Source organism: Homo sapiens, chromosome 1, assembly GCF_000001405.40.
Source record: "Homo sapiens chromosome 1, GRCh38.p14 Primary Assembly".
In the NCBI taxonomy this organism is placed as follows: Eukaryota; Metazoa; Chordata; class Mammalia; order Primates; family Hominidae; genus Homo; species Homo sapiens.
This window is the reverse complement of record NC_000001.11, coordinates 21,420,485-21,434,240: the sequence shown is the minus strand read 5'-3', so window position 1 is coordinate 21,434,240 and position 13,756 is coordinate 21,420,485. Positions and strand designations below refer to the sequence as shown.

The window sequence follows — 13,756 nt, the reverse complement described above, 5'->3', positions numbered from 1 at the left end:
CGGCTCACACCTATAATCCCAGCACTTTGGGAGGCCGAGGCAGGCAGATCACCTGGGGTCAGGAGTTCGAGGCTAGCCTGGCCAACATGGTGAAACCCCATCTCTACTAAAAATACAAAAAATTAGCCAGGCGTGGTGATGCACTCCTGTAGTCTCAGCTACTTGGGAGGCTGAGGCAGAATTGCTTGAACCTAGGAGGAGGAGGTTGCAGTAAGCTGAGATCATGCCACTGCACTCCAGTCTGGGCCACACAGCCAGACTGCGTCTCAAAAAAATAAATAAATAAAAATAAAACTACACTGGGCTGGGTGCAGTGGCATGCACCTGCAGTCCCAGCTATGCAGGAAGCTGAGGCAGGATTGCTTGAGCCCAGGAATTTGAGGCCAGAATGGGAAACATAGTGAGACTCCATCTCAAAAACTAAAGAGGAAGAAAGAAAGAAAAAAAAACCCTACACTGGGATGTCGTTTGTCCACTATCACATTGGGGAAAAAAAAAAAAGGGACACATAATACACAAGGAGGGGCTCTGGGGCAACAGGCCCTCCCCTACACAGCTGGTGGGAAGGTGAGTACAACCACAACGGAGGGCATTGAGGGAGAGCTCCGAAAACTATGCATGCATAGGACCTTCCCCACCGGCTCCTCCTCTAAGAATGTATCCTACAGATATACCCCAGCACAGAGGAGATGGCTTGTGGACAAGGAGGTTCACTGCAGCATTGCTCATGTAAGAAATCCTGGTGACAACCTAAATGTCTATCAAAAGGGGACTGCTGCTAAGTACACAATGGTACATCCTTTAAGTGGAAAACTGTGGCCAAGAAAAACCAGTGGAGAAGTTCTTCCTGGCCTGATCCAGAGCCACGTCCCAGTTATAACTAGTAGGGGAAGAAAGCATCTTCAAGAACTGTGAAGATGAAATTTTACCAGGCGCATATACAAAAAAGTGTGTGTGTGTGTGTGTGTGTGTGTGTGTCATCTGCACTATTTGCTTATATAAAATAACCCTGGAAGGTCACTTAAGAAACTGATAGGGCAGGCACGGTGACTCATGCCTGTAATCCCAGCACTTTGGGAGGCTGAGGCGGGAGGATCACCTGAGGTCAGGAGTTTAAGACCAACCTGGCCAACATGGTGAAACCCTGTCTGTACTAAAAATACAAAAATTATCTGGGTGTGGTGATGTACGTCTGTAATTCCAGCTCCTCTGGAGGCTGAGGCAGGAGAATCACTTGAACCAGAGAGGCAGAGGTTGCAGTGAGCCGAGATCGCACCACTGCACTCCAGCCTGGGCGACAGAGCGAGACTCCGTCTCAAAAAAACAAAACCAAAATTTTAAGTAGCCTTTATAATTTTTATATTTAACTTCTGATTATGTCACATGTTCACAAGTTTCACATTTCAAAAGGGTACACAGTAAAACGGCTCCCTCTCACCTCTGAGCCCAGATATTCCCCTTCCTTCTTTGGAGGCAAGCAGCATTATCAGCTTCTTTTTCTTTTTATGTATACAATTTTTTTCTTTTTTTTTTTTTGTCTTTTTCTTTTTTGGCCACCAAGTTACCATGAGAAGCATTATCAGTTTCTTTTTTCTTTTTCTTTTTCTTTTTTTTGAAATGGAGTCTCGCTCTGTCTCTCAGGCTGGAGTGCAGTGGCACAATCTTGGCTCACTGCAACCTCTGCCTCCCGGGTTCAAGCGATTCTCCCACCTCCGCCTCCCAAGTAGCTGGGATTACAGGCGTGAGCCACCACACCCAGCTAATTTTTGTATTTTTAGTAGAGGAGGGGTTTTGCCATGGTGGCCAGGGTGGTCTTGAACTCCTGTCCTCAGGTGATCCTCCCGCCTCGGCCTCCCAAAGTGCTGGGATTACAGGCATGAGCCACCGTGCCTGCCCTATCAGTTTCTTAAGTGACCTTCCAGGGTTATTTTATATAAGCAAATAGTGCAGATCACACACACACACACACACACACTTTTTTGTATATGCGTCTGGTAAAATTTCTTTTTTTTTTTTTTTTTCCTTGTCAGGGTTTATTTTATCAGCTAACATTCATTCTTGACCTAGACAAAAACAATTAGATGATTATGACTTGCTTTTCCATCATCAACTCATTTTTTTGTATGAATAACCAAAAAATTTCTTCAACACTTTTTTTTTTAAGAAGAATCTATAAATAAATAAAGCTTTAAACAATCCTGGGTTCAAGTTAAACAGTTCCAGTTCCCGAAAAGTTCACAGCCTTGTTTTGTGGGCAGTTCTGCTGTTCCTGGCTTCCCCTTCCAGGAGGGGACGTTTGCAGGTCTGGGGGTCCTGGTGACTAAGCTGTTAGCTCCACTGCCTGCCTGTTTCCGTCCTCACAGCCCTGGGAGGACCCCGGGTGGACAGAGTCCTTACAATTTAGGAGATGCTGCTGGCAAAGGAACTGTTGACCCAAAGCAGGTGGCCTGAATGGGAAGTGCCAGGCTGGACACTTGGGGGCTGAGGGCACTGCCAGCTGCCGCCGCCTCTGGACACCTCAGCCCGGCGCTGGCCCGAGAGGAGACTGCTTTCCAAATGCAGCGAAGAGACTGAGACAAGACCCGTGCTTCCGTGTGAGTTGGGATGCGGGGCATAAGTTAACACATATTCCAATATGTACAAAACAACCTGCGCTCAGGCCCGCGCACCCAGGAAGCCCATGGTGAAGGTGAGGTCACCTTGAGCCAGGCCTCTGGCTGGGTGTCCACCTCCTGCCGGGAAGCCAAGGTGCCCCACGTGGCTTGTGCAAGACCTCACGATCCCCTGAACATGTTCCTCCTCCTCCAAGGAGTGCACCCACCCCCATGTTGAGTGTCCGAGCAGATTCCCATTTACCCTGACCTCCCTTTGAAAGAACCACACCACTAAATCCCCTTGGCACTCGCTTCCTTAGTGTGATGCATCCACCCAGGGAGGTGGCCCTGCGCGGCGCTGGCACGCTGTCCACCCTGCCCTGTTGACCATCCTGTCCTTGGACCCCAAAGTAAAATGGGGCCAGTGTAGGAGACCTGAGGGTGGGGCCCTTATGCCAGACCTCCAGGGGTAGCAACCTCATCTGACCCCAGCTTCGGCTTCCTGTGCTGCAGAAGGCGCTTGCTCCCAAGCCGGTGGTGACCCACGTCTCCACCCCATGGTGGGGCAACTGTGGTGGCTGAGTGGAAGCTGGGGCAGGAGAGAGGACCCCCACCAACCCCAGCCAGGTGGCCTGCAGAGCCCACTGCCCTAGCTCTGAGTCAGCCTGCGGCCTGAGCACACCAATCTGCTCTCTGGGGGATCCAGGGTGCCCGTGTGGGCCCTCCTAGAGACACCAGCTTGGCCTCCTAGGGCATAAGGAATGGGGACAGGGCACAGGGCACGTGCTTACAACGGATATGCAACGTGGCTTTTAGTAGGGCCATTGCAGCCAGTGGGGAAACCTGCGCGGCTGCTGGGAACAGAGCATGGCCAGCCTTTTGCCAGGGGGTGGGGAGCATGGGGAAATGCAAGGAGAGCCAGGGTGGGGAGGGCTGAGTGTCTGTTGTCAGGGAGGCCGCCTACAGCTGTTTTGCCAAGGCTAGTTGAGAATCTGAAAGCTCGAGTCCCAGTTCCTGGCCATACAGAGCCACTGTGGTCCGAGGGTATGGCTCCTGGGCAGGGGCTATGGTCCCATGCTCCAGCCGATGGAAGCCTGATGAACTTAATCCGTACGCTGGTGGGAGCAGTGGTATTTGAGCTCTTGAGTATGTGTTTCGGTGATGGGGCTGGGGCAGCCTGCTAGCAAATCCCAGTGGGTCAGAAAGGAGAACAGAGGCAGGGGAGCCCTCGGTCCCCAGCCCTTCCAGTCTGAGCCAGGCCTGCCTGGATGGTCACCTCCAAGGGCCAGCCGCGGACTCACGCACAAGTGGCAGCATGCCTGGCCAAAGCCTCCCCACTCCTGGGCTGCCAGTTGGCCCACGGAAGGCCGGAAATGCAGCTCGGGCCTACTACCCAAACCCTCCTTGGTCTGAGGACTGTAGGGAGTGGGTGGGGCCTGAACATCAGCTTTGGCCTCCTGACCCAAAGCATGAAGCAGGACCATGGGCCAGAGAGGGGAGCAGGCTTCCTGGGGGCTGGACTCGAGTCTTCTCTGCCTCAGATGGGGTGGGCCCTGACTTTGAGGGAGCTACAGATGGGTGAGCTGGGGGCTCCCCAGGCCTCGGGGCATTGGGGGCAGCCAGAAGAGGAGGAGCTATGGGATGGCCTGGAGCTGGGGCAGTTGCCAGAAGCTGGTCTCACTCCTAGTAGCCCGGACAGAGGAGCTAAGAGCGAGTGCTGTGTGCATAGTTGGTGAGGGACACACTCCCGGCCTGGCAGGTCCACTTTCCGCTGTCCTCGTCTCTCACGCAAACCTTCAGTTTTTGCGATAAATCCAAGGAGGCCAGGAGAGCAGCTCCAGGCACAACACCTGCTCTGGAGGCTCTGCCCTGACCATGGCATCCTTCGAGCACGCTTTCCTCTGACCCACTGGGCTGCACCTGTTGATTTCTCAAGCCCCATCCCTGCCCAGCCCCACTATGTCCCTGCTGTGTTTTTTTTCAGGACGCAGCTACCTCTGTGGAGCAGGTTTGGGATGCTCATCCCTTGACAGTCTTGGGTGGACCTGTCGTCTGTCCTGTTTTATCCCCCACACACCCCAAGAGGCCTCCCCGTGGCCACCACCGCCACTACCACTTCTCAATGATGTGGCTCATGTAGTCCTCGGTGGGCACGCGGCCCGGCTCGTCGGCGTCCTCCCGCGGCAGCGCCTCCTTGGCCCGGTGCAGCAGACGCTCCTCGCGGCTCCTCAGGCGCTGCTCCCTGCGCTCCAGCTGCCGCTTGTACTGGTAGTGCTGCTGGAAGAGGTCCTTGGCGTAGTCATACAGCTGCATGTCCAGGTCGTTGAGCTCCTCGATGCGCCGGATGGTGTCCTCATCCACCTCCACGCCGCCCGCCCGCGTGCTGTTGTACTGCATGAAGGGCCGGATGAACTTGAGGTTGAACGTCCGCTCGAACAGGTACTGCGTCTTGCGCTGGAACTCGGTCAGGCCGAAGAAGGCCATGCCCCGCAGGTTCTTCTTGGCGCTCTCGAGCAGCAGCTGGGCCCGCTTGCCCTCGGGGATGAAGGACAGGTTGTAGCAGCCCACCAGGCTCAGGTCGGCCAGCATGCGCACCTGGCGGTTGTTGGCCAGGTTGTACGGGCAGTCCATGAACTCCTGTAGCGTGCAGCCCGACCAGTCCGTGCCCTCGTAGCAGGGCGGCAGCCCCTCAGGCGTGGGCGTGCGCCCATCACACATGTGCAACGACGTCTTCCACGTGGCACCCCTCTGCACATGCCGCCACTCGCTCAGGTAGCGGGACACGGGGTCTCGTAGCAGGGTGATGTAGTAGAACTTCCTGGGCGTGCGCAGCGCGGCGGAGTCGCGGCGGTCCAGCACGCCGGGCACGCAGTTGGTGAGCTCGGTCCAGTCGGCGTGCAGCCCGCAGCTCCAGCCGGTGGAGAAGCGGGAGAAGAGCCAAGTCTCGCGGCGGTTGGGCCGGTAGCAGGTGCACTTCTTCTGGCCGGGCCGGCAGTCGCACGGCACCTCGAGGCGTACGTTCTGCACGAGGTGGCGGCCGAAGGTGGTGCCGCCCGTCTTCTGGATGTGCAGGAAGACGATCACGTCGTCGCCCTTCATGTCGAAGCGCAGCGAGCGCTCCAGCTCGCGGACCGGGAAGTAGTGCTTCTTCTCGTAGTGGGGGTCGGGCGTGGGGAACAGGTCCAGGTCGTCGGGCGGCGCGCCGCCGCCGGGCGCGCCCAGGCTCAGTCCTGGGCCCGCGTACTGGTACAAGATGAGCATGAAGCACACCGGGCCCGCCACCACCAGCACGAACTTGCTGGCGCGCTCAACCATGGTCCTGCCGCTGGCGCGCCGCCGCCGCATGTGTCACCATCGCCGGGGCCCGGGCGCGGGGCGCGGGGCCTGGGAGGGCAGGAGGCGCGGGCGCAGCTGCCTCCGCCGCCGCCCGCGCTCCGGCCCGGCCCGGCTACTCGGCGCCCAGGCCGCCCGCAGCGGCGCGGGCCCCGACCCTCCGCGGTGCCATGGCTGCTCCCCGCCCGGCCCCGGCTCCCCGGGCCCGACGCCCGACTCCGCTCCCGCTCGGCCCCGCTCCCGGCCCCGGCCAGCACTGCGCTCTCCGCGCCCCCAGCACCAGCCCGCTCCGCTCCACTCCACTCCGCGCCGAGAACGCCCCCCCTGGCTTATTCTTTACTTTTCCTACTTTTCCAGGCTCAGCAGGGAGCTGCTGGATGAGAAAGAGCCTGAAGTCTTGCAGGACTCACTGGATAGATTTTATTCAACTCCCTGTGGGTACCTGGAACTGCCTGACTTATGCCAGCCCTACAGAAGTGAGTTTTACTCATTGCAGGAACAACACCTTGGCTTGGCTCTTGACTTGGACAGTGAGTACCTTACTATGAAGGTGATAAGACTCCACCTGGTCCTCCAGATATGGGTGATATTCCTGTTCCAAGTGGTCCTTATTGACCCGAGAGATGTCATTGCCGCAGGCAGGACCCGTGGGCGCATAGAGGTTGTAATGAAATTGTAGTTTCAGTTAGAAGCCCAGACATGAAATGGGTCAGTGAGCATGGCTCTCTATTCCTAGTCTCCGGCCATGCCTGTGGCAACCTGAGCCCACTCTCAGCACATTGGACCCAGGCAGGTGTAAAAAATTCACAGAACCATGATTTGGACTCAAGGGTTTGTAGATTTCCTCCTTCATTCAAATTTCAGTGTCTTGCAACCACGAATGAGCTGGGCATTTGATGAGACAGGGCTGAATACTGCAGTTTTCCTCCTAGAAATCATCTGGGGCATTTTCTTTGGGGTACCGATGGGAGCAATAAGGCATAACTGTTTGCACAAACTTGGGATAAATGATTTTGGGATAACTGTCTACCAGAATAGGGACATTTCACCCTTGGTTCTGAGATGCAAACCAAAGAATCTCTATCATGACCAGCTTTGAGGCCTCCTGAAGTATATCTCTCACATTGTCCTGTTCTCATGCTGAGGAGCCTGAGGTCCCTGTGTGGGGATTAGACAGTGGACTGTTATGGGTGTAGGTGAATTGGCTTATCTTGTCTGTCCCTGTCTGAATTTATTGCAGGAATTAAAAAGGACCAAGAAGAGGAAGAAGACCAAGGCCCACCATGCCCCAGGTAAGTTTGAGCAATTGTCAACAGCTAATTCTGTGTTGACACCTGGAGACTCCTGGTTCAGGGAAAGCAGAGCAGGCCGACATTATCGATTACATGTTTTCAACCAAGCCTGAATTATTCCTACTCACATTGCTATTGGTTTTCATTGCAGTAGATATTTAGGTTTCCGTTTCTTCCTCCCCTTATCACTTACTAACCTACTGTAGGTCGACCATACTTCAAAAGCTGTATCCTCATGGTGACTGCATGGAAACTTGAGCACATTTTATGGAAAATTATTGAGCACAGTCTTTTCATGATCACTGTATGCTGTGTGTCCTGAGGGCACTAACTCAGAGTGTCCTGTACTCCCTCCTCAGTGTGTCACCTGGACAATTCAGTGAGCGCTCGCTCTCTCTCTCTCTGCCTCTGTCTCTCTGTCTCTCTGTCTTTCTCTTTCATTCTTTTCTGTTTGGCCCTGTTCCATCCCAACTGAAGGCAATAATTTGTTACCTCATTAATGGATGTATCCTTTTTCTTTTTTAACCACTTCCTAATGCTACCCATGAAATCTAGTTGGGGCTCTGTGGTGTCTGATTTCCCCTGGCTTATTCTTTACTTTTTCTACTTTTCCAGGCTCAGCAGAGAGCTGCTGGAGGTAGTAGAGCCTGAGGACTTGCAGGACTCACTGGATAGATGGTATTCGACTCCTTTCAGTTATCCAGAACTGCCTGATTCATGCCAGCCCTACGGAAGTTGCTTTTACTCATTGGAGGAAGAACACGTTGGCTTTTCTCTTGACGTGGATGGTGAGTACCTTTCTATGAAGGTGATAAGGATCCACTGAGTTTTCCGTATAGAGATCCTATTCCTGCTCTAAGAGGCCGTTACTGAGCTGAGAGATGTCATTGCTGCACTGAGGACCTATAGGCACATATAGGTTGAACGAAACTCTAGTTCTACCTGGAAGCCCAAACATGGGATGGGTCAGTGAGCGTGGCTCTCTTCCTAGTCTCAGGCCATGCCTGTGGCACTCTGATTCTACTCTCAAGGCATTGGACCTGGGCAGATGGGACAAATTCAGAGAACTATGATTTTGACTCAAGGGTTTGTAGATTTCCTTTCTCACTCTAATTTCAGTGTCTAAAATCCTCACAACCATGAACAATCTGAGTATTTGATGAGACAGGGCTGAATACTGCAGTTTTTCTCCTATAAATCGTTTGAGGGCATTTGCTTTAAATTGATTGGAAAGATATGGCATAACCGTTTGCACAAACTTGGGACAAATGATATTGGGATAATGATCTACCAGAATAGGGACATTTTACCCTTAGTTTCTGGGACAAAAACCAAGGAATCTCTATCATGACCATCCTTCAGGCCTCCTGAAATATATCTCTCACAGTGTCCTATTCTTATGCTGAGGAGCCTGAGGTCCCTGTGTGAGGATTAGACAGTGGAATGTTATGTGTGTAGGGGAATCAGCTTAATGTGTCTGTCCATGTCTGAATTTATTGCAGAAATTGAAAAGTACCAAGAAGGGGAAGAAGATCAAAAGCCACCATGCCCCAGGTAACTTTCAGCAATTGTGGTCGCTTAATTCTGTGTTAACACCTGGAGACAACAGATCCAGGGAAAACAGTGTGTTTGATTTCATGTTTTCAATGAAGGCTGAATTACTCCTGCTGACATTGCTATTGGTTTTCATTGCAGTAGACGTTTAGGTTTTCATTTCTTCCTCCCCTTATCATTTACTAATGTACCATAGGTTGACCATACCTCAGAAGTTGTACCCTTATGGCGACTGCATGGAATTTTAAGCACACTTGATGGAAAACTATTGAGCTCACTCTTCTCATGATCACTGTTTGCTGTGTGTCCTGAGGGCACTAACTCACAGTGTCCTTTTACTCCCTCATCAATGTGTCACCTGGCCAATTCACTGAGCTCACTTTCTCTCTCTCTCTGTCTCTCTCTCTCACTCTCTGTCTTTCTCTTTCATTGTTTTCTACTTGGCCCTGTTCTATCCCAACATAAAGGCAATAATTTTTTTACCTCATTAATGGACCTATCCTTTTCCTTTTTTGACCACTTCCTTATGTTACCCCTGAAATCTAGTTGGGGCTCTGTGGTGTCTGATTTTCCCTGGCTGCTTTAGTTTTGTCTCCTTTTCCAGGCTCAACGAGGTGCTGATGGAAGCAGAAGAGCCTGAAGTCTTGCAGGACTCACTGGATAGATGTTATTCGACTACTTCAACTTACTTTCAACTACATGCCTCATTCCAGCAGTACAGAAGTGCCTTTTACTCATTTGAGGAACAGGACGTCAGCTTGGCCCTTGACGTGGACAATAGGTTTTTTACTTTGACAGTGATAAGGCACCACCTGGCCTTCCAGATGGGAGTCATATTCCCACACTAAGCAGCCCTTACTAAGCTGAGAGATGTCATTGCTGCAGGCAGGACGTATAGGCACATGTAGGTTTGAATGAAACTGTAGTTCCCTTTGGAAGCCCAGTCATAGGATGGGAAAGTGGGCATGGCTCTATTCCTATTCTCAGACCATGCCAGTGGCCACCTGTGCTCAGTCTGAAGACATTGGACCCAAGTTAGGTGTGACACGTTCACACGACTATGTAGCACATGCCGGGAGTGATCTGCCAGACATTCTAATTTGAACCAGATATCTCTGGGTAGCTACAAAGTTCCTCAGGGGTTTCATTTTGCAGGCATGTCTCTGAGCTGCTATACCTGCTCAAGGTCAGTGTCATCTTTGTGTTTAGCTCATCCAAAGGTGTTACCCTGGTTTCATTGAACCTAACCCCATTCTTTGTATCTTCAGTGTTGGTTTGTTTTAGCTGATCCATCTGTAACACAGGAGGGATCCTTGGCTGAGGATTGTATTTCAGAACCACTGACTGCTCTTGACAGTTGTTAACCCACTAGGCTCCTTTGAGTAGAGAAGCCATAGTCCTTCAGCCTCCAATTGATATCAATACTTAGGAAGACCACAGCTAGATGGACAAACAGCATTGAGAGGCCTTAGCCCTGCTCCTTTCAATTCCATCCTGTAAAGAACAGGAGTCAGGAGCCGCTGGCAAGAGACAGCATGTCACCCGGGACTCTGCCGGTGCAGAATATGAACAATGCCATGTTCTTGCAGAAAACGCTTAGCCTGAGTTTCATAGGAGGTAATCACCAGACAACTGCAGAATGTAGAACACTGAGCAGGACAACTGACCTGTCTCCTTCACACAGTCCACGTCACCACGAATCACACAACAAAAAGGAGGAGAGATATTTTGGGTTCAGAAGAAGTAAATGATAATGTAGCTCATTTCTTTAGTTATTTTGAACCCCAAATATTTCCTCATCTTTTTGTTGTTGTCATTGATTGTGGTGACATGGACTTATTTGTAGAGGACAGGTCAGCTGTCTGGCTCAATGGTCTACATTCTGAAGTTGTCTGAAAATGTCTTCATGATTAAATTCAGCCTAAACGTTTCATCAAGAACACTACAGAGTCGATACTGTGAGTTTCCAACCTCAGCCCATCTGTGGGCAGAGAAGGTCTAGTTTGTCCATCAGCATTATCATGATATCAGGACTGGTTACTTGGTTAAGGAGGGGTCTAGGAGATCTGTCCCTTTTAGAGACACCTTACTTATGATGAAGTATTTGGGAGAGTGGTTTTTAAAAGTAGAAATGTCCTGTATTCCAGTGATCATCCTGTAAACATTTTATCATTTATTAATCATCCCTGCCTGTGTCTATTATTATATTCATATCTCTACGCTGGAAACTTTCTGCCTCAATGTTTACTGTGCCTTTGTTTTTGCTAGTGTGTGTTGTTGAAAAAAAAACATTCTCTGCCTGAGTTTTAATTTTTGTCCAAAGTTATTTTAATCTATACAATTAAAAACTTTTGCCTATCACTCTGGACTGTTGGATTGTTTTTTACATTCAGCGTTATAATCTTTTGTTATGCTGATTGGTTTTGGTGGGTACTGATGCGAATTAATAAAAACATTTTCATTTCCCTGTTTATTTTCTAATCTCTTCCACCTTGTAGGCTATGTTTACCATATGTAGCAGAATGCATGTACTCCATTTCTTGGTTCTAGATATTTATATTCTTTGTGAGAGTGTGTGTGTGTGTGTCTGCGTGTGCCTCTGGCATTTAGGAAGGGTTGTGTAGCTCATGTTTGATATTGACTAAAAATGTTTCATAGTTTTCCCCCCTTTGAACTAGACACACTTCTAATATTTGGTTTATACGTTTTAAATTATGACTTTCAACGTCAAATATTTCCATATGACAGTCAATTACATGATGTGTTTTCTTTTTCCTACCTCCTTTACCTGCCACTTCTCATAATCGTATTTGAACCTAAACATACACCAGTGACATTCTGTGGTTGTCATCTTGCCCACACCTTGGTTTTTGGTTTAGATCCACAATTAAATATATTAATGCTCATGAGCTGTTCAAAAGTGAATGTCACAGTCATCACTTGCTGAGTGGTACTCATCCTAACAGAGTCCTCATGAGGGAATCAGGTCTCGCTGAGTTTAGCATGTTTAATAATCTTCCTCACGGTCTTGATACATGGATCGCATTACTGGATATAAGGTGTTTGCCCAAAATGATTTTTCTTGTGTTTTTAGGAGCTATTGTCTTCCTTGCGGGACATACATGGTGTATGTTCTCGTTGTGGGATTCTATTTTGTTCTACCAGGACCTATAATTTCTGCCAGTTACTTCATTTGTTCTCTTCACCATGAGTCTCCTGAGGATGCTTCCTTTGTCCATGCCTCCCCATCTCCCAGCAATTCTGCGTTTCCAGGACTGGCACCTCTGGTCCTCTGCATGGTGAAGCCCCTTCCTTTCAATTCCCCAGTAGCCAGTGCTCTAATCCACCAGGTCTCAGGCATGATCTGTGTTTTTCCACATGCTCTCTCTGAGGATAGTTTTACCTGTGTTCTGTCATGAACAGGCCCTCCCTGCTGTCCTGGCCTCGATTTGCTTAGTGTTTCCTGCTCCCTCTGCCCTTGTGTGGCTCCCAGACCAAGTGAAAGAAAATCACCTGAGGACCACAGTGTTCCCTAGCCCTGGTGTTAAGGGACAGGGTTATAGGTGGGATTTTTGACTCTCTAAGTTAACCCCTAGGGCTTTGAAGTGTCTGTTGAGAAATTCAGCTGTTATCGTCCTAGGTGGACTTGCTCTCTCCTATCCTCCTACTTCAAATGCAGAACTTCAATCGTATACAAAAGAAGACCGAGTCATATAACAGAACACACCCTTATTCATTGGCTGGCTTCACCAATCATCTCATGGCTGAACTTTTAAAAATACACTCTTAGCCACATACCTATGAAATGTATATGTGTGTGTATACATATGTGAATTTGCTTCTGAGATTATGGAGGCTGAAATTCCCAAGATGGAAGGAAAGCTGGATACCCAGGAAAGCATTTGTTTCTCATTAGGCCTCTTAATTCTCTCCTGACCTCTGATTGATTGCATGAGTCCCCCCCTCGTTAAGTGGGGCAATCTGCTTCACTTAGTCTGCCCATCCCGATGTTAATCATATGCGAAACACTCTCTGGAACACAACCAGAATCACATTTGGCCGAATGTCCCGGCACCCCGGTGCTCGGTCACAGTGACACGTGCAAGTAACTATCACACTTGCCCTTTGTCACATTTGTCATTTCCCCTGTTTTTCTCCCAATCTGCAGCTTATATTGTTCTCTTAATACTGTCTCGTGTTGAGCAAAAACTTCTAATTTTTATCAAGTTGAATTTATCAATGTTTTCTTTAATGGTTTGTGTTTCTTGATAACAAAGAACACTTTGCCTAACTGTGTCGTGAAGATTTTGTCTTATATTTTCTGCTATACTTTTTCTAGTTTTATAGTTTATATTTAGTTGCATAATCCATTTTGAGTTAGTTTTTGAGTCAGTATTGAGGTTCAGGTGAATCTTTTTCCTTTGGGGATATGCATGTCCAGTTGTTTCTACACAATTTGTTGACAAGAGAATGCCTTCTCCACTGAATCATATTTGGACCTTTGTCAATCCGTTGGGTGGTTGAGACTGGTCTGAGGGCTGTCCTGGTGTTTGGACAGAGAGACAGGGCATGAAGTAGGGTGGTTCTTATGGGAAAAATTAAGGAAGGCACATTTTTCTATGAGGCACAGGAAGCCCCAAGCACAATTGGGGTACCCTCTACCAGCATGTTGTAGCACACTCATCTCTGCTGTCTCTACCTCTCCTGTTGCAAAAGCTTGGGTGTGCATAGACACTGAGGTCGAGTGGTGTCTTTGGGCACTTTTGAGCATTAACACCAAAGCTCCAGCATCAAATCTTAGAATATCAAGCAGCCGGGTGGATCACCTGAGGTCAGGAGTTCACGACCAGCCTGACTAGCATGGTGAAGCCCCGTCTCTACTAAACACAAAAAATTTAGCTGGGCATGGTGGTGCATGCCTGTAATCTGAGCTACTTGGGAGGCTGAGACAGGAGAATCGCTTGTGTACCTGGGAGGCAGAGG

General features: G+C 49.7%; 2 pseudogenes, besides 1 other annotated feature; one reads left to right on the top strand and one right to left on the bottom strand.

Annotated features, from left to right (window-relative positions):
- Positions 2,021-6,173, bottom strand: HS6ST1P1 (heparan sulfate 6-O-sulfotransferase 1 pseudogene 1; annotated as a pseudogene).
- Positions 5,340-5,859: an enhancer, noted in NCBI's record as "H3K27ac-H3K4me1 hESC enhancer chr1:21754875-21755394 (GRCh37/hg19 assembly coordinates)". NCBI's record gives its function as "activates a minimal SCP1, AML or CMV promoter by ChIP-STARR-seq in primed H9 embryonic stem cells {active_cell/tissue: H9 hESC(primed)}" and the evidence as "EXISTENCE:reporter gene assay evidence [ECO:0000049][PMID:30033119]".
- On the top strand, positions 6,281-11,133 carry NBPF2P (NBPF member 2, pseudogene; annotated as a pseudogene).